We start from the raw sequence: 24,826 nt of genomic DNA on the forward strand, positions 1-24,826 counted from the left end.
TGTCTCTTCACAGAGAAACCTTCTCTGACCAGCCCTGCCATATCTAAAATATGATCCCTCATTATTCTGTATAGCTGTGCCCTATTTATTAGCTTTGTACTGCCAACAAAACTTCAAGCAGCACAAGAACAGAGACCATGTCTGTTTTACTCAGCAATACATCCCAAGCACTGTATCCAGCTTATGGTGGATGCTCTAGTATTGTATAAATGAATACATTAATGAGCAGGTAAATGCACAGCCAAATAAACAACCATACCCAAAGACTTTACTAAAGCTTATGTTTTTGTTTAATAATGATTCAACACATGTAAGGTTTTTTTCAGGAAGGAGTGATATGGAATAAAATATTTCATCTTCCTAGTACAATTTCAGGAAGCACTAAAGGGCAGCAGCTCATGAGATATCCCTGAAATCAGCCTTTTACTTACATAGAAAGCAGCCTTTTACTTCTCTCAAGGCCTACTTTATGAGCATTATTTAATTTGAATTGTCTCTGTCTTCCTTTCTCTTCGCTGCACGATGCTCAACCAGATTCACAAATGGTGGTAACTAAACTGGCCACCAGTGAAAAATTTTGAAGCAAATTAAATAACCATGGAGTAGGACGACAGTTAATGCAACCAACACTTAATGATTTGTGGCATCAGTGTAAGCAGTGCTGGGAGTGGGTGAGGCCAATGTCGGTAACTCAGCTGAATAAAACCCCACATATGCCAGGGATCAATTTACCTCGTCTCTAGGTTACTCCTCCTAACAAAAGCTACACAAGGGTTGCTGGCCAGAAGCCAGAGGGGCCGATGGGACTTCCACACCCACTCACTCCTTCCCAGGCCCAGGTCTCTGGCCGAGGTGCTAATGAGCAGTAAAAAGGCCAGAAGGTGAAAAGAAGTAGGGGGAAAGAGGGCTTGGATTATCCATGACCTGTGTAATCAGTCCCTGAAGATTTGGTTTAACTAGATTTGCAGAATCCCCTTTCTACCCAAGAGTGTGTGAGAAACTCAGAGGAGATGCTGAAGTACCAGGAATTGAGACACGGCCTCGTTAAGGGTGTGCAAATATTGACGCAATTTCCATAAAAAGTGCTTTGTGGGGGCCTGAGGATGGGTATTGAGTGCCGGTCAATAAAAGCTCTCTGGCTGAGGAAGTTTTTATAGCTCATTCGACCACAAAAACTAGTATGACGTATTTGGGCAAAGGTTTCTGGAAACCATTTCCCTTCACTGCTTCCGTAGATTTACTCTGTGTCCTTCCTCTTCAGAGAAGTAGTTTGGCAAAGGAGAACACGCAAAGTAGTAAAAGCAGGTCTCCGAAGGTTACAAAAAGCTCTGACTTGTACAATCTTCAGATTTCCATGGCCTAAATACAGGATTTCAAACTACCATTGTGACGTCAGGGAAGGTAGAGTTGCAAAAAGATGTGCAGAATCATGGTGGTGAGCTGGTATAGCTAGCTCCAGCATCCCGCAGATGAGCACGTGGATTCCGGGAGTCAAACATATTCATCTCCAATCTGGGCCTGCCTCTTAGTAGCTATGTGACCTTGGACAAGTTACTTAGCCTCTCTGAGCCTTATATTTCTCATATTTTAAACAGGGATCGTACAGAATAAACACCTATTAGTTAAAAACATAGGTTTAAAGAAAACAGTGCCCAGCACATGGTAGGTGCTTATCAAATTGTAGAAGATGGAGATTACTAATGATGATTAACTTCAGCTAAACTATCCATAATTATTGTAGGGAATTGGTGAGTATCCAAGAATTCCTGTATCAGGAAGACTCACCGAAACTCCAGCAAACTTAACTGTTTAGGCACAAGGGCCACAATTCTGTGCATCTTTCCTGAGAAGGAATTGGAGAAAGAAAAAACTATAACTTCTTTCTAGAACTATACTTTGGATTTTTATAACAAGAATTTATTTATGTTTTAAATGTGTGATAATTTTTAGTTTTTAAGAAAAGCTATGGAGGCAAAATCCAGAAGCAATGCTTTCAGAGTAGTAGAAATAAGCATTGAGCTTTAAAATTGGCCAAGAATTGAAAATTATTTAAAACTCATTTGCTGTGACCCTCTAATATAGACCCAGATAAAACTCCTGGGAAAATCTTATTGGAAACAGTGAGATATAGCAAAAAGGTAGATTCAGAGGATTCCTCAAGTTAATTTTTACAAATGAATTGAGGATATGCACTTTAATGGAAACTGTAAAAAATAATAAGAATAAAAACAAAAATAAAAGAGTAATTAACACAAAACAAATTAAAACAAAATTTAGCTTGAAAATTACTCATGGTAGAAAAAGTTTCAAGATAGTGCCGAGTCAAATACAATAACCTTCCTACCTGTTGACAGGTATCAGGTTTATATAACAATAACTCAAGAAGTTTAGAAAATTATTGTAGTGTTTGTATAGTGTTGCATAATGAAGGAATCAAGAAGGTGGATTATGGTGGGTGACTGAGCAATGTAGCTAAAACCACTTACATTTCACAATTTCATTGGCCCCAGAATCTATGAACAGACATTTCACAGTGGGGAAGTCAGATCATGCTCACTTGCCTGTGAATCTCTAAAGGCTGGTGGAAACCACATCCATGCTGTGTGTGATGTGGTATTGTGTAAAATCTCTGGAGTGTCCTGAGACTGGATGAGCCTGAGTGCCATCATCATTTAGCTCCTTCATCAATTCCTGAGTTACAGCAGCTCCTTTTGGATCAAGACTGGAGACACCACCACCATTAAGTGTTTGGACACTTTTTGGCTCACCTGCATCTGAGAACAGTGATATCACTGTCCAAGCCTGAGGTGTCTGTGCAGCTCCCAAGACCCTGATCAGAAACCTGGGCAGGAGGCCATAGCAGAAACTCTTTGGACCGGGCTCAGTAAAATACTTCAAAGCAGAGGTTTAATGACAAAGGAGCCTGCAAGGAACAATAAAAACCAATACTCAGCCTGATCCAGGGTGCTGAAATGCATCTACATGTGTAGGCTGGTGGGGCCACTTTTTTTGTAGACTACCGTGTTAGTCCATTTTCATGCTGCTGATAAAGACATATCTGAGACTGGACAATTTACAAAAGAAAAAGATTTAATGGACTTACAGTCCCACATGGCTGGGGAGGCCTCACAATCATGGCAGAAGGCAAGGAGGAGCAAGTCACATCTACATGGATGGCAGCAGGCAAAGAGAGAGCTATGCAGAGAAACTCCCCTTTTAAAACCATTAGATCCCATGAGACTTATTCACTATCACCAGAAAAGCACAGGAAAAGCTGGTTGCTGTGGCTCACGCCTGTAATCCCACCACTTTGGGAGGCTGACCCAGGTGGATCACCTGAGGTCGGGAGTTCGAGACCAGCCTGATCAACATGGAGAAACCCCATCTCTACTAAAAATACAAAAAATTAGCTGGCTGTGGTGGTTCATGCCTGTAATCCCAGCTACTTGGGAGGCTGAGGCAGGAGAATTCCTTGAATCTGGGAGGCGGAGGTTGTGGTGAGCCAAGATCGCGCCATCACACTCCAGCCTGGGCGACAAGAGCAAAACTCCATCTCAAAAAAAAAAAAAAAGAAAAGAAAACAAAAGCACAGTAAAGGCCTGGCCCCATGATTCAATTACCTCCCACCAGGTCCCTCCTATAACTCGTGGGACTTCAAGATGATATTTGGATGGGGACACAGCCAAACCATGTCAGCTACTTTTTCCCCAGCTTTATTGAGGTATACTTGACAAATAAGAATTATATGTATTTATATACAACAGGTACAATACAATGTTTTAATATACGTACACATTGTGAAATGATTATCACAATCAAGCTAATTAATGTATCTATCACCTCAAATAGTTACCCTTTTTGGTGTGGTAAGAACATTTAAGATAAACTCTTTTAGCAAATTTCAAGTATACAATACAACGTTAGTAACTATAGTCATCGTGTTGCACATAAGGTTCCCAGAACTTATTTACCCTCCATGACAGAAACTTTGTACCTTTTAACCACCATCTCTCCATTTCCCCAACCCCCACAGTCCCTGGGAACCACCTGTCTACTTTCTGCTTTTAGGAATTTGACTTTTTTAGATTTCATATATAAGTGAGATCATGCAGTATTTGTCTTTCTGTGCCTGGCTTATTTAACTTAGCATAATATTGGTGGGGCCACTTTTTAGGAAAAGCCAAGATATGGAAATCTAAATCGATTTAAAAGACAAACCAGGATCCAATTATTCTCATCACAAGTGGGATCTTTCTTTGTAAAATTATTCAGAATAAGGTTATTTTATGTATTCCATTCTCTGCTACTGTTAAAATACACTTGGTTCTCACAACTAGGTCCATTCACCTTTCGTTGAACATATTATTTGCATAGAGTACAGTGTAGCTCTATTTAAATGAATTTAATTTAAATAATTAAATAATTCTATTTAAATGAATTTAAAGAGAGGAAATAGGAGTTTGGTTAATGGTCTGTTTGGATAATATTTTAATCCAGGGGCTCAGTAGTTTGTTTTAAATGTGGAGGTCAGTTCTAGTTCAAACTGATTCATAGGAGTATTTTCATTTCTTTGGTGTGCAGGTCTGTGTTTGGGGTTTTTATTACAATTATTATTGTAGAAGAGGTTTCAGTTGAAAGTTCAGAAAAAATATTCGTAAGTGGTTTCTGTTTGAGTTCAGTAGATCATCCAGGGATTCCTGATTTACTTCAGTTCAATCTCCATGTATTTGTGTCTGTTGCATATATGGACGTGTCTGTACCAAGTATGTGCATAGTCACAGATATTCATCTTGATTTTTGTCCAAGCTCACCTCACCCTTTGTCTAAGCACTCAGCTCCTGATTGTTGAAAGATACCTCTGGGTGCACAGGAAAGTCTAAACTTCATAGAGAGAGAAGCAGCTTCCCATGGCTGAGTGGGAAGGCCCCCAGGAAGAGCCTCCTGGGATGAAAAGGCTCCCAGATATCCAGCTATCTCCTGGGCCAGCACTTTCCCACATACTGCTCAGGCAGTTTATGACTAGCTGCTGCTAATCCCCCCATCACACCTCTTCCTGGGTTATTTCAACAGATATCTGAGTACCTATTATGAGCCAGTCTCTATTCTACGAGCCAAAACTCAACACTGAACAAGAGATACACATTTCTTGCTCCAGCCACACATCACAGTGTTCTTCCCTGAGATACCTACCTCTTGAGTTATCATAATTTTCAAGAATGGAACAGGATAGATAATAGACATTTATTTAAATTTTTGAATGATAAGGTTTGCCACCTTACCTGATATTCATTATTAAATAAGATGATTCCAAGAAAGAAAGACCCTGAAATGCACCTAAATTGCAGGTGATCTTTGGGAGGTGTTTAGTCTATACCATGTTTATATCAAGTATAAGATTTACATTTACCTGCAAGAATTATGGCATGTTAAAAGAGCCTGTGTGAATAAATACGTAGCAGATTTGGAGAAAAAGTGAGTTTTGCTTTATTATAAATCTATTCTTCTTCATTCCATTATTCAAAAAATATTTGTTAAGCCATTTCTCTGAGCCAGGCACTTGTTCAGATAAATAGGTAAGTATTGTATATCTCGGGCTTTAATACAAATGTTTTAATATTCATTACCTGAAATGGTACACAGAATTATCCTGTGCTGAAGACAAAGCAAAGCTACTATTCTTATTAATATTCCAATCATGGTCCTGAGTACCCAGAGTCAAGGTTTCAAAATGCCCTTCTCAATATTGCATAGCTGATGAGCAGTGTTGTTACCAGGCAGAGATTAAGAACACCGAGACTGGGCCAGGCGTGGTGGCTCACGCCTGTAATCCCAGCACTTTGGGAGGCCGAGGCATGTGGATCACGAGGTCAGGAGTTTGAGACCAGCCTGACCAACATGGTGAAACCCCATCTCTACTAAAAATACAAAAATTAGCCAGGCATGGTGGTGCGCCCCTGTAATCCCAGCTACTCGGGAGGCTAAGGCAGGCGAATTGCTTGAATCCGGGAGGCGGAGGTTGCAGTGAGCCGAGATCACGCCACTGCACTCCAGCCTGAGTGACAGAGTGAGACTCTGTCTCAAAAAAAAGAACACCGAGACTAGAGTTCTACTACTTGGGATCAAGTCCATCCTCTGCTGTGTGACCTTAGGCAAGTGATAACATCTCTGTGCCTTAGTTTCCTCATTAGTAAACAGAAAGAATAATAGTTCCTACCTCATTGGGTTGTTACTGTTATGAGAATTAAATAAAATAATGCCAGTTAGACACTTAGAACAGTGTCTGGCAGCTGTTGAGTGCTTAATAAGCCTTCACCATTATCGTCAAACTCAGTCTTCTGGTGCCAAAGCCTCTATCTGCTGCCTGTGTCCATAACTCCTGCCTGATTCCACTTTGCTCAGGGTTTTTCCTCCCTCAGATCAGAGGCATTAATATTTCAAACTCTCAAATTCCACTGGAAATTCTGACTGAGCTCATCAAAACTATTATGACAAAAGCCTTAAGACTGGTGGACATGAACCAGTACAGTCACCAGTTTTTCACTTTCCATATGAAAAACAGTTATATTTTCCAAGTCAAGCCAGTCTCCCTCATGGAAATTAAACCACCTTGGATTCTGGTAAGCTTGATATTCTTTTTATTAAAGCACTAAATTTGTCTTTATATAACAGAGGGAAAACTTGCCTCCCAGAACTAATACATGTTTTAATATCCATACCGATAATAATTCCTTAAGAATATTTTTAAATTTAGTTTAGTTTGGTTGAGGAGAACTTCTGTGATTTTTGTTTTCACACACGGATCCCTTAGACAGTAGTTGGTCAATCAACACACATTTCCTGAGCATTTGTCTTATGCTGAACCCTGAAATAAATACTGGAGCTACAAAGATAAGTAAGAAGTGGTTCCTGACATCATGAACCAAGGGAAATTGGAGAGGCAGCTGCCCTCTGAATGAGTATCCACGTGTTCTTATGAGTTACCTTGTTTGAAGAAATCTTATTTGGAAATGAACATTTTGAAAATGCATGCTGAGCTCACCTACTTCCATACTTTATGCAAGTTGAAGGTGCCAAGAAGCTGATCAATCTCACAGATGCTATGAGGATGGAGAAAACTGAGTCTGTTCTATCAATAAGGTCACAGAACTGGGGGAAACTCTGCAGCTTCCAATTCAGAATGGGGAGACACTTTGGCCAGGTTGAAAGCCTATGAGATTGGCAGAATGTCCAGCAGTAGAGTCCTCAGGCCCAAGATTCGTATTCTTTTGGCAAAATAGCAACTTCCTACTTCAGAATAAACAGTCTTAAAAGGCTTATGGAAATGGTTCTGAGGGATGGTTCACTATCCAAAAGCTCTTACAAAAGGTTTCAATAAGTTAAGTGTGAAAGAAGCAGAAACAGATGGATTGTTTCTCACAGAATACCCAGGGCTTAACAATTAACAATAACAAAAACAAGTTTTAAAAAGGGAAACCATGTATGGCCATTGTCCAAGTTTGAGCCCTTGAATGAGGGTTGGAATGTTCTGCCAGACACCTAACTCTGTGGGGTCCTTTATTATCTACCATACCAAAACTATGAGCTTTAAATGAAGTTAGGTTTGTATACTGCTGCGGCCTTCTCTAGAATATGAACCATTGGAAATGCAGCCAGACACCCCTTAGTTATGCAGATCTGTTTCCCAGTATATGCTCCACAGATCACTTGTTCTATGATGTGCAAGCCCCCATACCATTGTTCAGGCCATCCTCTCTGCCAAGGAGTATCTCTGCTGAATTAACCCCTCATGTCCCTCAAGGCTTACCTCCAATGCCAACTTCTTGGAGACATTTTCTTTGTCCCTCTCTCAGCCAGGTCCTCCACCCAACCTGACAACTGCCCTTCCTGTTGGGTGACTCCAGACAGCTGGACCAAAGCAAAACCCTAGTTGTCCACAACCCAAAGAACGAGCAAAAGCCAGTTAGCACCTTTGAGAACTAAGTCTGCACTCCAGTACCACACCACTGCACAACTCCAGGGGACATTGTTAATTTTGTATTCAATGAGAATGGCATCCTCCCTAGCAAAAAACAATGTGCATAATAATGACTTCTGGGGATGGGAAAAAAGGCAGCCCTGCTGCACTCATCTGTGGCCCTGCCTCCCCACACTTAACAATGTGTGCCAATAGCCATGCTACCCAGGACACTGCAAAGGCAGACACATACACTATAGTTTGAAGTGGAGAGAAAAGTAGAACGCCGTGGCTTTTATGGGAGAAACCAAAACATGGAATGGTCTATATGGTCCAGATTTAATGTTTCCCAAAGTGTATTCGGCAGATTGTTTGAAGTGTTGGACAAAAATAAGATTATCTGGTCAAATTAATTTGGAATTTCTTCTGAATGTCTTAAAAGCATGCAATATGTTGCTTTGTATCACTAACTTCCAAAGTGGAAGTGAAGAGAGAATAACTGGTTCAGTAGTTCCCAAACTCATTTGACCAAAGAACCTATCTTCATAAAGCAGCATTGTGGCTTTCTGAGAAACACATAAAGGAAGAAAAAGATATGGTTTTCTGCCTCTTTTTAAACAAATGGCATAGTGTCCCACCTCAATCTTATGCCCTCACTTGGAGCCCATAATAGTTTTTCTGCACCAATTGTCCTTAATGTGAGAGGTCCATGGATGAGTCCCAGAAGGTTTGTGAATGCCCTGAAATTGCATGCAAAATTATATTCACTGATGTATTCTTGGGAGACAGGCCTTCAGATCTGAGGAGAATTCAAGACTCCAAACTAAGGCAAATTCTCTACCAAATCCTTCTTCATTACTTTGGAACAATATGGGCGAAGGAGAAAGGGAATTATTTTCATGCCCAGGTAAATGGGGGCACATAAACAAACTCAAGAACACAAATGTTTATCTAATAAACATTTATTAATTAAACATCCCCGGGTCAGTAACGATGTGGGTGATGTTCCTAATTTGGTCCAGAGTCTTTTTCTAGGAAGAGTGTGAAATTTTCACTTTGTAAGGACTGGTTTGGCATCTAGCATTGCAATGAGAATTCTAGTTTCCAAGGCTCTCACCCTCCACCATTCCTACGTCATTCCAGCTGGCTGGCAAGGGCATAGATGGCAAATCCATTGCAGGGGCTCCAGATGCCTCCAGGCATCACAGAAGTGGGTCTCATTGTACAGAAAAAGGATCCAAGATAAAACGAGCAAGTTCAAAAGATCAAGATGCATTTTCATTGATCTTGGACTTGTAAGAGCAGTGCCATCAATCACAGTCATTTAAAAATTCCTATTAATGGCCCAGAGTGCTGGGGTTCCCATATGGTTTGTCTTTATAACATTTGGTCTTGGGCATCTCTTTAGAATCAGCATGAGAATCTGTCAGTGTCAGATTCAGACCTTTGCCTGCTTCCTCACTCCTGGCAGTAGTGGAAGGGAGAAAAGGAAGAACATGTGCTTAAATATGTGCTTCGGGACAATGGAGATTTGGGGTTCAGCTATGGAGCCAGAGGACTGACAATACCTTGCCCCCGGGAGAAAGCAGGGGCTAAAACAAGATTGACCCAAGTCAATGAGAAAGTCCTAGGACAGGTCCTGGAACCATAGTGAGGAAGCAGCAAGTCTGGAAAAAAATTCTGCCCCAGCTCCTCCATGCAAGATATTCTGGTGGCACCAGGGGCAGGGCTGACCCTGATGTCCCCCAGTGGAGAAGCAGTGGGTATTTGAGGGACTGTGTATGTAGAACAAATCAATAGGAACTGAGAGAGCACCAGGAAGCAGGGTTGTAAGGGAAAAGGCCTTCCGAAAATCCAGGCTTGGCTGGGCGCGGTGGCTCTTGCCTGTAATTCCAGCACTTTGGGAGGCCGAGGCGGGTAGATCATTAGGTTAGGAGTTTGAGACCAGCCTGATCAACATGGTGAAACCCTGTCTCTACTAAAAATACAAAAATTAGCCGGGTGTAGTGGCACATGCCTGGAATCCCAGCTACTCAGGAGGCTGAGGCAGGAGAATCGCTTGAACCCGGGAGGCAAAGGTTGCAGTGAGCCAAGATCACACCATTGAACTCCAGCCTAGGCAACAGAGCAAGACTCTGCCTCAAAAAAAAAAAAAAAAGGAACAAAGAAAGGAAGAAAGAAAGAAAGAAAGAAAGAAAGAAAGAAAGAAAGAAAGGAAGGAAGGAAGGAAGGAAGGAAGAAAGAAAGAAAGAAAAAGAAAGAAAATCCAACCTTGCATTATCTAGTATGAAAGCCACTAGTGACATGTGACAGTTGAGGACGTGAAATAGTATGAATTTGAAATGTGCTATATGTGTGAAATACACATCAGATTCAAAGGCTTGGTGTGAAAAAAATTATAAAATATACCATTAATAATTTTATATGGATTACATGTTAAAATGATTTTTTAATTTTTAGTTGACAAATAATAATTGTATATATTTATGAGGTAGAATGCAATGTTATGATACATGTATACAGGGGAGGAGCCAAGATGGCCGAATAGGAACAGCTCCGGTCTACAGCTCCCAGCGTGAGCGACGCAGAAGACGGGTGATTTCTGCATTTCCATCTGAGGTACCGGGTTCATCTCACTAGGGAGTGCCAGACAGTGGGCGCAGGCCAGTGTGTGTGCGCACCGTGCGCGAGCCGAAGCAGGGCGAGGCATTGCCTCACCTGGGAAGCGCAAGGGGTCAGGGAGTTCCCTTTCCGAGTCAAAGAAAGGGGTGACGGACGCACCTGGAAAATCGGGTCACTCCCACCCAAATATTGCGCTTTTCAGACCGGCTTAAGAAACGGCGCACCACGAGACTATATCCCACACCTGGCTCAGAGGGTCCTACGCCCACGGAATCTCGCTGATTGCTAGCACAGCAGTCTGAGATCAAACGGCAAGGCGGCAACGAGGCTGTGGGAGGGGCGCCCGCCATTGCCCAGGCTTGCTTAGGTAAACAAAGCAGCCGGGAAGCTCGAACTGGGTGGAGCCCACCACAGCTCAAGGAGGCCTGCCTGCCTCTGTAGGCTCCACCTCTGGGGGCAGGGCACAGACAAACAAAAAGACAGCAGTAACCTCTGCAGACTTAAGTGTCCCTGTCTGACAGCTTTGAAGAGAGCAGTGGTTCTCCCAGCACGCAGCTGGAGATCTGAGAACGGGCAGACTGCCTCCTCAAGTGGGTCCCTGACCCCTGACCCCCGAGCAGCCTAACTGGGAGGCACCCCCCAGCAGGGGCACACTGACACCTCACACAGCAGGGTATTCCAACAGACCTGCAGCTGAGGGTCCTGTCTGTTAGAAGGAAAACTAACAACCAGAAAGGACATCTACACCGAAAACCCATCTGTACATCACCATCATCAAAGACCAAAAGTAGATAAAACCACAAAGATGGGGAAAAAACAGAACAGAAAAACTGGAAACTCTAAAACGCAGAGCGCCTCTCCTCCTCCAAAGGAACGCAGTTCCTCACCAGCAACAGAACAAAGCTGGATGGAGAATGATTTTGACGAGCTGAGTGAAGAAGGCTTCAGACGATCAAATTACTCTGAGCTACGGGAGGACATTCAAACCAAAGGCAAAGAAGTTGAAAACTTTGAAAAAAATTTAGAAGAATGTATAACTAGAATAACCAATACAGAGAAGTGCTTAAAGGAGCTGATGGAGCTGAAAACCAAGGCTCGAGAACTACGTGAAGAATGCAGAAGCCTCAGGAGCCGATGCGATCAACTGGAAGAAAGGGTATCAGCAATGGAAGATGAAATGAATGAAATGAAGCGAGAAGGGAAGTTTAGAGAAAAAAGAATAAAAAGAAATGAGCAAAGCCTCCAAGAAATATGGGACTATGTGAAAAGACCAAATCTACGTCTGATTGGTGTACCTGAAAGTGATGTGGAGAATGGAACCAAGTTGGAAAACACTCTGCAGGATATTATCCAGGAGAACTTCCCCAATCTAGCAAGGCAGGCCAACGTTCAGATTCAGGAAATACAGAGAACGCCACAAAGATACTCCTCGAGAAGAGCAACTCCAAGACACATAATTGTCAGATTCACCAAAGTTGAAATGAAGGAAAAAATGTTAAGGGCAGCCAGAGAGAAAGGTCGGGTTACCCTCAAAGGAAAGCCCATCAGACTAACAGCGGATCTCTCGGCAGAAACCCTACAAGCCAGAAGAGAGTGGGGGCCAATATTCAACATTCTTAAAGAAAAGAATTTTCAACCCAGAATTTCATATCCAGCCAAACTAAGCTTCATAAGTGAAGGAGAAATAAAATACTTTATAGACAAGCAAATGCTGAGAGATTTTGTCACCACCAGGCCTGCCCTAAAAGAGCTCCTGAAGGAAGCGCTAAACATGGAAAGGAACAACCGGTACCAGCCGCTGCAAAATCATGCCAAAATGTAAAGACCATCGAGACTAGGAGGAAACTGCATCAACTAATGAGCAAAATCACCAGCTAACATCATAATGACAGGATCAAATTCACACATAACAATATTAACTTTAAATATAAATGGACTAAATTCTGCAATTAAAAGACACAGACTGGCAAGTTGGATAAAGAGTCAAGACCCATCAGTGTGCTGTATTCAGGAAACCCATCTCACGTGCAGAGACACACATAGGCTCAAAATAAAAGGATGGAGGAAGATCTACCAAGCAAATGGAAAACAAAAAAAGGCAGGGGTTGCAATCCTAGTCTCTGATAAAACAGACTTTAAACCAACAAAGATCAAAAGAGACAAAGAAGGCCATTACATAATGGTAAAGGGATCAATTCAACAAGAGGAGCTAACTATCCTAAATATTTATGCACCCAATACAGGAGCACCCAGATTCATAAAGCAAGTCCTGAGTGACCTACAAAGAGACTTAGACTCCCACACATTAATAATGGGAGACTTTAACACCCCACTGTCAACATTAGACAGATCAACGAGACAGAAAGTCAACAAGGATACCCAGGAATTGAACTCAGCTCTGCACCAAGCAGACCTAATAGACATCTACAGAACTCTCCACCCCAAATCAACAGAGTATACATTTTTTTCAGCACCACACCACACCTATTCCAAAATTCACCACATAGTTGGAAGTAAAGCTCTCCTCAGCAAATGTAAAAGAACAGAAATTATAACAAACTATCTCTCAGACCACAGTGCAATCAAACTAGAACTCAGGATTAAGAATCTCACTCAAAGCCGCTCAACTCCATGGAAACTGAACAACCTGCTCCTGAATGACTACTGGGTACATAACGAAATGAAGGCAGAAATAAAGATGTTCTTTGAAACCAACGAGAACAAAGACACCACATACCAGAATCTCTGGGACGCATTCAAAGCAGTGTGTAGAGGGAAATTTATAGCACTAAATGCCTACAAGAGAAAGCAGGAAAGATCCAAAATTGACACCCTAACATCACAATTAAAAGAACTAGAAAAGCAAGAGCAAACACATTCAAAAGCTAGCAGAAGGCAAGAAATAACTAAAATCAGAGCAGAACTGAAGGAAATAGAGACACAAAAAACCCTTCAAAAAATCAATGAATCCAGGAGCTGGTTTTTTGAAAGGATCAACAAAATTGATAGACCGCTAGCAAGACTAATAAAGAAAAAAAGAGAGAAGAATCAAATAGACACAATAAAAAATGATAAAGGGGATATCACCACCGATCCCACAGAAATACAAACTACCATCAGAGAATACTACAAACACCTCTACGCAAATAAACTAGAAAATCTAGAAGAAATGGATACATTCCTTGACACATACACTCTCCCAAGACTAAACCAGGAAGAAGTTGAATCTCTGAATAGACCAATAACAGGCTCTGAAATTGTGGCAATAATCAATAGTTTACCAACCAAAAAGAGTCCAGGACCAGATGGATTCACAGCCGAATTCTACCAGAGGTACAAGGAGGAGCTGGTACCATTCCTTCTGAAACTATTCCAATCAATAGAAAAAGAGGGAATCCTCCCTAACTCATTTTATGAGGCCAGCATCATTCTGATACCAAAGCCGGGCAGAGACACAACAAAAAAAGAGAATTTTAGACCAATATCCTTGATGAACATTGATGCAAAAATCCTCAATAAAATACTGGCAAACCAAATCCAGCAGCACATCAAAAAGCTTATCCACCATGATCAAGTGGGCTTCATCCCTGGGATGCAAGGCTGGTTCAATATACGCAAATCAATAAATGTAATCCAGCATATAAACAGAGCCAAATACAAAAACCACATGATTATCTCAATAGATGCAGAAAAAGCCTTTGACAAAATTCAACAACCCTTCATGCTAAAAACTCTCAATAAATTAGGTATTGATGGGACGTATTTCAAAATAATAAGAGCTATCTATGACAAACCCACAGCCAATATCATACTGAATGGGCAAAAACTGGAAGCATTCCCTTTGAAAACTGGCACAAGACAGGGATGCCCTCTCTCACCGCTCCTATTCAACATAGTGTTGGAAGTTCTGGCCAGGGCAATCAGGCAGGAGAAGGAAATAAAGGGTATTCAATTAGGAAAAGAGGAAGTCAAATTGTCCCTGTTTGCAGATGACATGATTGTTTATCTAGAAAACCCCATCGTCTCAGCCCAAAATCTCCTTAAGCTGATAAGCAACTTCAGCAAAGTCTCAGGATACAAAATCAATGTACAAAAATCACAAGCATTCTTATACACCAACAACAGACAAAGAGAGAGCCAACTCATGAGTGAACTCCCATTCACAATTGCTTCAAAGAGAATAAAATACCTAGGAATCCAACTTACAAGGGATGTGAAGGACCTCTTCAAGGAGAACTACAAAACACTGCTCAACGAAATAAAAGAAGACACAAACAAATGGAAGAACATTCCATGCTCATGGGTAGGAAGAATCAATATCGTGAAAATGGCCATACTGCCCAAGGTAATTTACAGATTCAATGCCATCCCCATCAAGCTACCAATGACTTTCTTCACAGAATTGGAAAAAACTACTTTAAAGTTCATATGGAACCAAAAAAGAGCCCGCATCGCCAAGTCAATCCTAAGCCAAAAGAACAAAGCTGGAGGCATCACACTACCTGACTTCAAACTATACTACAAGGCTACAGTAACCAAAACAGCATGGTACTGGTACCAAAACAGAGATATAGATCAATGGAACAGAACAGAGCCCTCAGAAATAATGCCGCATATCTACAACTATCTGATCTTTGACAAACCTGAGAAAAGCAAGCAATGGGGAAAGGATTCCCTATTTAATAAATGGTGCTGGGAAAACTGGCTAGCCATATGTAGAAGGCTGAAACTGGATCCCTTCCTTACACCTTATACAAAAATCAATTCAAGATGGATTAAAGATTTAAACGTTAGACCTAAAACCATAAAAACCCTAGAAGAAAACCTAGGCATTACCATTCAGGACATAGGCGTGGGCAAGGACTTCATGTCCAAAACACCAAAAGCAATGGCAACAAAAGCCAAAATTGACAAATGGGATCTAATTAAACTCAAGAGCTTCTGCACAGCAAAAGAAACTACCATCAGAGTGAACAGGCAACCTACAACATGGGAGAAAATTTTCGCAACCTACTCATCTGACAAAGGTCTAATATCCAGAATCTACAATGAACTCAAACAAATTTACAAGAAAAAAACAAACAACCCCATCAAAAAGTGGGCGAAGGACATGAACAGACACTTCTCAAAAGAAGACATTTATGCAGCCAAAAAACACATGAAGAAATGCTCATCATCACTGGCCATCAGAGAAATGCAAATCAAAACCACTATGAGATATCATCTCACACCAGTTAGAATGGCAATCATTAAAAAGTCAGGAAACAACAGGTGCTGGAGAGGATGTGGAGAAATAGGAACACTTTTACACTGTTGGTGGGACTGTAAACTAGTTCAACCATTGTGGAAGTCAGTGTGGCGATTCCTCAGGGATCTAGAACTAGAAATACCATTTGACCCAGCCATCCCATTACTGGGTATATACCCAAAGGACTATAAATCATGCTGCTATAAAGACACATGCACACGTATGTTTATTGCGGCACTATTCACAATAGCAAAGACTTGGAACCAACCCAAATGTCCAACAATGATAGACTGGATTAAGCAAATGTGGCACATATACACCATGGAATACTATGCAGCCATAAAAAATGATGAGTTCATGTCCTTTGTAGGGACATGGATGAAATTGGAAACCATCATTCTCAGTAAACTATCGCAAGAACAAAAAACCAAACACCGCATATTCTCACTCATAGGTGGGAATTGAACAATGAGATCACATGGACACAGGAAGGGGAATATCACACTCTGGGGACTGTGGTGGGGTCGGGGGAGGGGGGAGGGATAGCATTGGGAGATATACCTAATGCTAGATGACACGTTAGTGGGTGCAGCGCACCAGCATGGCACATGTATACATATGTAACTAACCTGCACAATGTGCACATGTACCCTAAAGCTTAGAGTATAATAAAAAAAAAAATTAAAAAAAAAAAAATGATACATGTATACAATGTGGTATGATTAAATTAGGCTAATTAACATATCCTTCGCCTCACATACTTATCATTACGTTGTAATATATTTTCATATTGGGTAAAATTAAATGTATTACTAAATTGACTTATTCTTTTTTTACTTTTTTAATGCAGCTATTAAAATATTTAAGATCACATATGTGAGTCACAGTATATTTCTATTGGACAGCCCTATTCCAAAGCATGGCTATGTTAGTTTCCTAGGGCTACCCTGACAAAGTACCATAAGCTAGATGCCCTAAAACAACAGAAATGTATTCTCTCACAGTTCTGGAGGCCACAGGTCTGAAATAAAGATGTCAACAAGGTGGTCCCTCTGGAGTGCTCTGAAGAAGAATCTGCTCCAGGCCTCTCTCCTAGCTTTTGGTGGTTGTTGGCAATCCTTGGAGTTTTTTATTTGTAAATGCGTCAATCCAGTCCCTGCCTCCACTGTTTAATGGTATTCTTCTCAGTGTGTCTCTGTTTCTGTCTCTTCTCCTCTTTGTTTAAGGGCACCAGTCATGTCAGATTTAAGACCCACCCACCTCCAATATGATCAAAGATCCTACTTTCAACCAAGGCCACATTCTAAGGTTCTAGGAAAGATATAAATTTATACAACAGTATTCAAGCCAGTACAATGTCTAAACCTGTCCTTTTCAGGAAACAGGAGTCCAATCCTTGCCTCCATGGAGAAGACACATTTTCTCAGCCTTGAGTGGTGAGTTATGCCCGCTATGTCCCCTCACACACTCACCACAGATACTCTGAACTCCAAAGGAACTGCTGTCTAGTGAGGAGCTTGCTAAGGTAAAACACATTCAGGACTGGAATTAGGAAATGGGTTCTAGTCCTGGCTGCCTCATTAACCACCATAGTGGCCTTTAGCAGAAATACTAAACCTCTCTGAACCTCAGAGTTCCCTGTCTCTGCAATGGAAATACAAACCCCTGTACTTCCAAATTCACAAAATAGCTGTGAGGATTACATGGGATCATTGTAAAAGTGTATTAATAATCTATATACAATGTAAGTCTTTGTTACAGGCTGCTGCCAACTCCTGTCCTTTTGCTACACAAGACAAACAGGAGAATCACTTCGAAGGCTGGAGGACCTGAGATCTCTCAGCTTCTAGTACAGATGGACATGGACTCCTACAAAATCCTCCCTGCAGAACTCCCTGCCCCCAAAATTGTCCCTTTCAATCCAGTCTTCTCACTGTGGCCAGAGGATTATTTCCAAATTTTTGAAATCTAATCATGCCGTTTACTTTCTGCTTAAAAACTCTTACCAAAAAATATATATTGAAATAATAAATGATGCAGACCTTGCTTCTTCTGATCCAGGGACAGAAGAATGTTGGGGTGATCATCTAGTAGTCTTCCTCTGGTTGAGGCCCAAGGATTAGGAGTCAGGCAAAATAAACACCAGATCTTAGCTGATGGAAGATTGGTGAAATTGTATGATGTACAGAGTAGGAATTGGACACTATGCTATGTGGAATAAATGCAACCATTCAGAGGAAGCCCAGGACATCTAAGCCAACTGTGAGGCAGGTTCAGTCAGCTGGGCAAATAACAGCAACTTCGGCAAGACCATGTTCCAATGGCCCATCAAGGGATGAGGCTCAGAGGAAGCCTGAATTAGAAACATTTGCCTTTTCTCATTAGGCCCAAGAAAGTTATTCATTTTGTTTTTTCTAGACTGTTTTATTTGGCACATCTTGAGTGAAATGGCATTCTCTTTTCCCAAGGTGCTTGAAGCTGCTTGTTTGTTTTTGCAATTGGCCATTTTACAAGTAGGGGTCATGAGCACTCACACTGAGACCTGATGCCACCGGTGAGCACGTTATTCTGCTAAAACACAGGACTTGGGTAAGGTCAGCTGCATGGGAGATAGGCTGTGCTTGAGGATGGCAATGTATTTCCCACCTCTATCACTGATGGCTACTGTTTGTAGCTCTGCCAAGCAGTCTTCCAAAGTCCTCCTCCTTTGCGGTGCACAAGGATCCCTAAGTCAACTGTGAATTTGTTATTGATGCCTCTTGCATTCCCAACAACAGTCTCTATCAATGCCAACTTCTCCTTAAAAATCCCAATGCTCCAAGTCTCCCATCGAGTTAGCTCTGAAAGAAGCTAAGCTTATGTCTTCTAAGTAGGGTATCAGATGTCTTCAGTTTATTTTACACAGTCCTAGCTTCACTTGTACTGATATTAACAGTGCCTCTTTTTCTCTCAAAATTGTCCTTGCTTGGATGACAAATTATAAACACACCCTATTTTCAAACTATGTTTTTTAAACTGATATTAACAGTGCCTCTTTTTCTCTCAAAATTGTCCTTGCTTGGATGACCAATTATAAACACACCCTATTTTCAAACTATGTTTTCAAAAAGAGATGGTATCATTCTTTTTGAATGATACCATCAGAAGATGCCAGAGCAATATGTTTTCTTAGGCAATAAGTTTGGAAAACATCTCTCATTTTGTCTTAGAGAATCACAACTTATATTAGCAAATTAAGAGCTCTGAGAAGTCCCTGCATAAATATGTCTGCTTAACTTTGTTAGGCCCAATGTTCCCAATATTTATTAAACCACAGCCCTTGATTTTTGATAAACACGTATCAACACTTCCTTGGAAAACAGTTTGGAAAACACTTCCCTGAAATGTAAGAAACTCTATGTGCTTCTCCTCTCAGAATTTCAAAGAAATCCTTCCAAGAGAAGCATATAATCATCTGAAGGGTGGATAATACCCTCTGCAAATTATCCACATTGTTCATAACGATATTTTTTTATTAAAAATCAGACAACATGATCTGACCCATTGATCTGACATGGCCTAAAAATGAGACAAGATCTTTGAAATCAGGAGAGACCTAAACAAATCTAAGACATCTATATGTGGTCCTGCCTACATTCCTTTCATGGTAGACCTCAGGCCAGATTTTTTCAACCCCTCAGAGGGAGCTCTTACCACTAATATGTCCAGGCTTATCTCTGAAATCCTCCTGGGACAGTAAAGTGATACTGTTATTCCACCAGCCTTGCCTGCTCTACCATGCAGCAGTCAGCCACTAAAAGCCTGAGTGCTCAGGCACAAAGGCAGGCCACCTTCCATGGGGTCATTTGGTAGAGACCACCTTCCATAGGGTCATGGCAGCCCCCTCTTTGGTTCATGGGGTAAAGATATGACTGACTGGATCTCACCCACCCATCCTCTAATCTTTGCCATGAAAACAAACCACACCTTGTGTACTTCTGACAAATCTGAATTTGAAACAGAGTTAAAGCCTTATCCCATCGTGCAGTGCTCAGCATATAGGAGGCATCTGCAAACATCACAGGCTGAAAACTCTTACAGCCTAGAGAAATGGACATTTGTGTTTTCTTTACCATAAACCTAGGGTTTTTTCTGTCATATCTTTTATTTCTCCACTCAAAAGATCTATGCTAACGAAGTGTTTTTGGTTTTGAAAAATGTTTCCAACTTGTTACAGGCTTGGTCATGGTCTTACAAATCATCTTTAATATTTCTCCAAAATCTGAAATGATACTTAGTTAATATGCCAGTATCTTCCTCTTATAAAATAACTGTCCCATGACTCTCAGCAGGAAAAGTGAAATAGAATTGATTCTAAACACTTCCAGGTATAAACAGTGGATGATATAAATACTATAAGCCAGGAGTGGGCCTCTGACAATCCTTAAACTATTCTAATCTGTGGAATTATTTGATGACATTGATTTACCTCATCCTTAGTTCCAAGACATGGGTCCCCTTTGATCTTTGGGGAAAATTTTTCTTCTCACCCAAACTAGAGACTCAATCAAACACCACTCAAGAGTGACTTTATAGAGCTGGACAGTCCATTAAGCCATGCTGACTGTATCCTGGCCTTCTGAATATTATCAAAGAATAAACCCCTTATTGCTATGACTCATTCCTGTAGAAATTTCTGGAAAGAACATTGAATGTAGCTGAAAGTTAAAAAAAAAATTTTTTTTTTAAAGAATTCCCCATCTGGGTGCGGCGGCTCACACCTGTAATCCCAGCACTTTGGGAGGCCAAGGTGGGCAGATCACCTGAGGTCGGGTGACCACCCTGACCAACATGGAGATACCCCATCTCTACAAAAAAATATAAAAATTAGCTGGGCATGGTGACGCATGCCTGTAATCCCAGCTACTTAGGAGGCTGAGGCAGGAGAATTGCTTGAACTCAGCAGGCAGACATTGTGGTCAGCCAAGATTGCACCACTGCACTCCAGCCTGGGCAACAAGAGCGAAACTCCATCTCAAAACAAAACAAAACAAAACAAAAATGCCTGTATAACTTTATGAAAGAAGCAAGCATTGTTTCTCCGTGAAAGATGAAGACTGAGTATGGTCCACAGTTTGTTATACAAAGACAATGTTTACATTTCCACTGAGGCCAGACTAAGAGAACATGGACTAGGAAACTATTTGGTTCTGTGGAAAGACCCTGGGAGAGATATTCTGGACATGGGATGATTCATTCATTCACTTCTATTCATCAATCATTAATGAAAATCTACTGTGGTTTACATACCACAATACCCAGGCTTATGGAGACCAGCAAGGACAATTCCAGGCCTTTAAGCTCACAACCACTAGTAGGAAAGACAACACACAGTAGATAATGACTATATGTGAGTTAATACTGAGAAAGAGGAACGAGGCCCTGAGCAAGCTATTGACATTTCTCAGCAGCAGTTTTAAAAAGTAAGAGTTCCCCACATGAACAAAATAGACAGGTGTTAGAAATAGATAATCAGTGCCACGAAGAAATGTCAAAACGGAGACAAAAGATCTCTCAGCCAGGGAATCTTTACTTTCTGCAGAAAGGGTGCTCAATCACAGATGGAACAATGGTGAGAGCACACCTGAACAAAGGAAAAGCAGACATATTTATCCCTTACACATTTGGATGGTCCTGACTGCTGTGTCCTGCATCCATTGGCTGGGACTGGACCTCACAATCTTAAACTAATACCCGATTTGCTAATAACCTAAAACTTTCCTAAATAGGTAAGTGCAAGGAAGAACAAAGAAGGAGAGGAAGTTGCTCATGAAAGGTTTAAGGAAGCAATAACATTTCCAAATAAGGAAGGGGCGTAGGCTGTGAGCTGGAAAGTGTCTGTGAGCATGTCCAACAGTTACATAGGATAGGGCTTAACAAAGAGTTATTAGCACAAAGCAAGGAGGCTTGAAGTAAGTTAGTCTTTAAAAGAAACTATTATTTCTAACACTTATGATTTATTCTTTAACAAGAAGGGAAACTTTGAGGAGGAAACTTTTTACTTTCTACACACGGTATTCCAGGCCAGTTAAAAGACTCTGCAAAAGTGAATACATATAAAACAGTATGGCATTAGTTAGCACAAAGAACAAATGAGGAAGTGGTAAGAGATGAGGCTGGTGCTAGATTGCCCAAAGGCATAAGGGTGGACAATTGAGGTCCCTACCACTCAATAACTCTAAGACTCATGATCATTTTCCTTCAGGCTGTCACCAGCTTATGTGCCATGAAATGATAGAGTAGCTCTTATTAACCATGTCAAAAGCTCAAAGTGAAAGGTCAAATCCAAGCGGGAATGAGGACAATGCTGATGGATTTCCCTGCCTAGTTTAAAAGGATCCGTATGCTCACTGGAAACTAGCTGCACTAAGGGCCAGGATAATGTGCACGTATGCCTCACACTGCTTACAAAGAGGCTTATCTAGGTTTTTCCAGACAAATAGATATTTGACCTGACAGAAGATGTCCCCAGCCACAGGAGGAATCACATTGGTTTTTTTTGTCTGGCACCCTTAAAGAGGCAATTTGGATCTGAAGCCTCCACAGGCTTCATCTGGTTAAGTGAAGTGAGTATGGGCTTCTGGTGGCCCATGATGAATGTTTGCCCCATACTTGAAGACAGCAGCACTCCTCAGGAGAGCAGGCTGCCCCAAAAACTGAGCCCATAACTAATTTAGTAAGTATGGCTTTATACTGCTGGACAGAAAAGGCAGCAGGGCCTGTACTTTTCCATGAGGTAAACCCCTTCATGTCTTTAGATGAAGCCTAGGTATCCAGCACCAGAAACACAGGACCTGGGAGGGAACTGCTACAGGCACATCCTGCCCTTTGCCCCTTGTTTTCCCATAAACATTATTGGATCTCTTGGGCCCAGAAGTCTCTGTTTTTGTTTAATATGCAAGATGACTTCAAAAGATAGCCAGAGGTCATTTCTACTGCATTGAGAGCCTCTGAAAGCTAGGGCTTTCTTTTCTACATTACCTCTCGGAACTATCAAGTTTTAGAATTTATTCTTCTAGAAAACGTCCCACAAGCTCAATTTGATTGCCCCATATTGACGATTCTGTTACCAGGGCTAGGTTCATGAGTTTCACACTCAGGAAGTCCCATCGTTTAATGCTCTGCCATTGTCATCTTGAAATGCTCAATAAATTTGAACAAGGAGACCCACATTTTCACTTTGCACTATCCTGCATAAGATGTAGTGATCCTGACTGCAACCAATAAAAATATACCTCTGGCTTCGGAGTAACACTTTTTTTTTACGTTTTCAAAGGGCATTCACACTTGTTATCTCATCTGGATCCTCACAATAAAGCATCCAGAAAAGGAGAGAAAGTGGAAGAAAAGACAAAATCATGAAGTTAGAAGAAAGCTGGGTTCCAATCCAGGCTCTGCGATGATTAGTTATGTGAACTTGAGCTAGTTATTTAATTTCTCTGAACACGGGCTTCCTCTTCTGTAAGACAGCACCTAGAACGTTTAAATTGGTAAGATAATTATGTGAAATCGTGTATGTCTCCTTCTGTCATGGAGACGTAACTGAATAAACCTCGGTTCCCCTTTGCTCTTCTAGCTTCTCTTTCTGTCCCCCATTTCTCCCAATTTGCAAGATATAAAAGGTAAAGCTGAGCCATTTAGACAATCTGCCAATTGTGTTATTCTGGATCCTATAAAAAGCAGAAGTCAACTTGGGATTAAATGTGCAAAGATTTTATTAGAGGAAACGGCTCTGTGAGAGAAAAGGGAGAAAGATGGGAGACTCAGACCAGGAAGCAAGTCTGACCCGGAGTGAAGAAGAGAATGAGACGGTTGGGTGGAAGAGCCCTAGACTGCTGTGCCATCTAAGAAAAAGATTCGAGGAGGCTGTTGGGGCCTCTTTGAGCCAGCCAGAGTCAGCTCCCAGCCCCTACATCTCCCAGGAACGGTCCTGCCTCAGAATCCCAGCCGTGCTCACCCTTGGCTGCAGCACACATGGGAGGTGTGGCCTTGGCGTGAAGGAGATTTCAGGAGCAGTATCTAGGCCCTTGGTCATTTTCCCTGTATTCGCAAGTCCTTAGGGTGCATTTTCATGACCACCACATGGAACTTCACATGGAGTTAATAACAAAACCAGATCCACCCTTGACTCTTACCCGCAAGGAATTCAATTATCCCAGCCTCTTCCTGTGTGAAGTTGTTCTTCAGCCATTGTTTCCCCCAAAAGCAGAACAATGTTCTCTGCTGAAGATGCCTCTGTCCTGTCTCTTTGAGGAAGTGAAGCTTTTCCCCCAGAATGCTTCTTTCGCTGCGCAAATCAGCTCTACCGGGTTTTTGGAGCCCCGGAGAGGAGACTCATTCAATCAGCCAAATTTCCACAACCCCCATCCTGTAAAACGTTAAGGGTGATTCTGAGAAAATTGCCCAAAAGTTAGGTATCTTTTGGCTGTTGTGGTCTCTGAAGTAATTTTTAAATTAAAAAAAAAAGAAAGAAAGAAAAAGAGAGATGGAGGTGAGGGAAAAAGAGCACTTTCACATCCATTGCAATATTGACACATTACTCTGAAAAGTGGATGAAGATAGGGCAGGTCATCTTATTATACTCATGTTTTAAATGTGGAAACCGAGTTCTGGAACATTTAAACCACTCGCCTAAGGTTTCATAGCTCATGGAAGGGAGAGCTGGAACTCCTGCCCACGCCTTCCGCCCTCCTCCGGTAGGACTCAGTCTACACAACACCAGTAAAGTCCATCATTTGAATCATAGAAAATGTTAGTCAGTTCAGCAAATTGTTATTCTAGCAGCTCCATGCCCCGCCCCTCCTTCCAGCTCCATCCACTTCCTCTCAAGCTCTCTTAGGGCTCTAGAGCCCAGGATACCTAACTACTGCCAACATTTGTGGGTGAGAGCTTTTTTAAAAAAAAAAATCACACAAACTTAATCAAGAATTAAGAAAAAAAAACAACAAACTTAATCAAGTACA

At 41.4% G+C, this 24,826-nt stretch overlaps 1 long non-coding RNA gene across 1 annotated transcript in view, besides 3 other annotated features; it reads right to left on the minus strand.

Moving 5' to 3' along the window:
* LOC107985447 (uncharacterized) overlaps nt 1-24,427 on the minus strand; it is a 58,364-nt gene extending 33,937 nt beyond the window's left edge. The window contains exon 1 of the long non-coding RNA XR_001737805.1: nt 23,999-24,427. This is a non-coding gene — a long non-coding RNA (uncharacterized LOC107985447). The remainder of the gene's footprint in view (nt 1-23,998) is intronic.
* Nucleotides 678-878: a silencer, noted in NCBI's record as "peak393 fragment used in MPRA reporter construct". NCBI's record gives its function as "represses an SCP1 promoter by STARR-seq MPRAs in K562 erythroleukemia cells {active_cell/tissue: K562}" and the evidence as "EXISTENCE:reporter gene assay evidence [ECO:0000049][PMID:32103011]".
* Nucleotides 10,771-11,392: an enhancer, noted in NCBI's record as "NANOG-H3K27ac-H3K4me1 hESC enhancer chr1:119395269-119395890 (GRCh37/hg19 assembly coordinates)". NCBI's record gives its function as "activates a minimal SCP1, AML or CMV promoter by ChIP-STARR-seq in naive H9 embryonic stem cells {active_cell/tissue: H9 hESC(naive)}" and the evidence as "EXISTENCE:reporter gene assay evidence [ECO:0000049][PMID:30033119]".
* Nucleotides 23,233-24,432: an enhancer, noted in NCBI's record as "CDK7 strongly-dependent group 2 enhancer chr1:119407731-119408930 (GRCh37/hg19 assembly coordinates)". NCBI's record gives its function as "activates an origin of replication core promoter dependent on BRD2, BRD4, P300/CBP, MED14 and CDK7 cofactors, with strong dependence on CDK7, by STARR-seq in HCT116 cells {active_cell/tissue: HCT116}" and the evidence as "EXISTENCE:reporter gene assay evidence [ECO:0000049][PMID:35650434]".

The sequence above is a fragment of the Homo sapiens genome, chromosome 1, assembly GCF_000001405.40.
Source record: "Homo sapiens chromosome 1, GRCh38.p14 Primary Assembly".
NCBI classification, from domain to species: domain Eukaryota; kingdom Metazoa; phylum Chordata; class Mammalia; order Primates; family Hominidae; genus Homo; species Homo sapiens.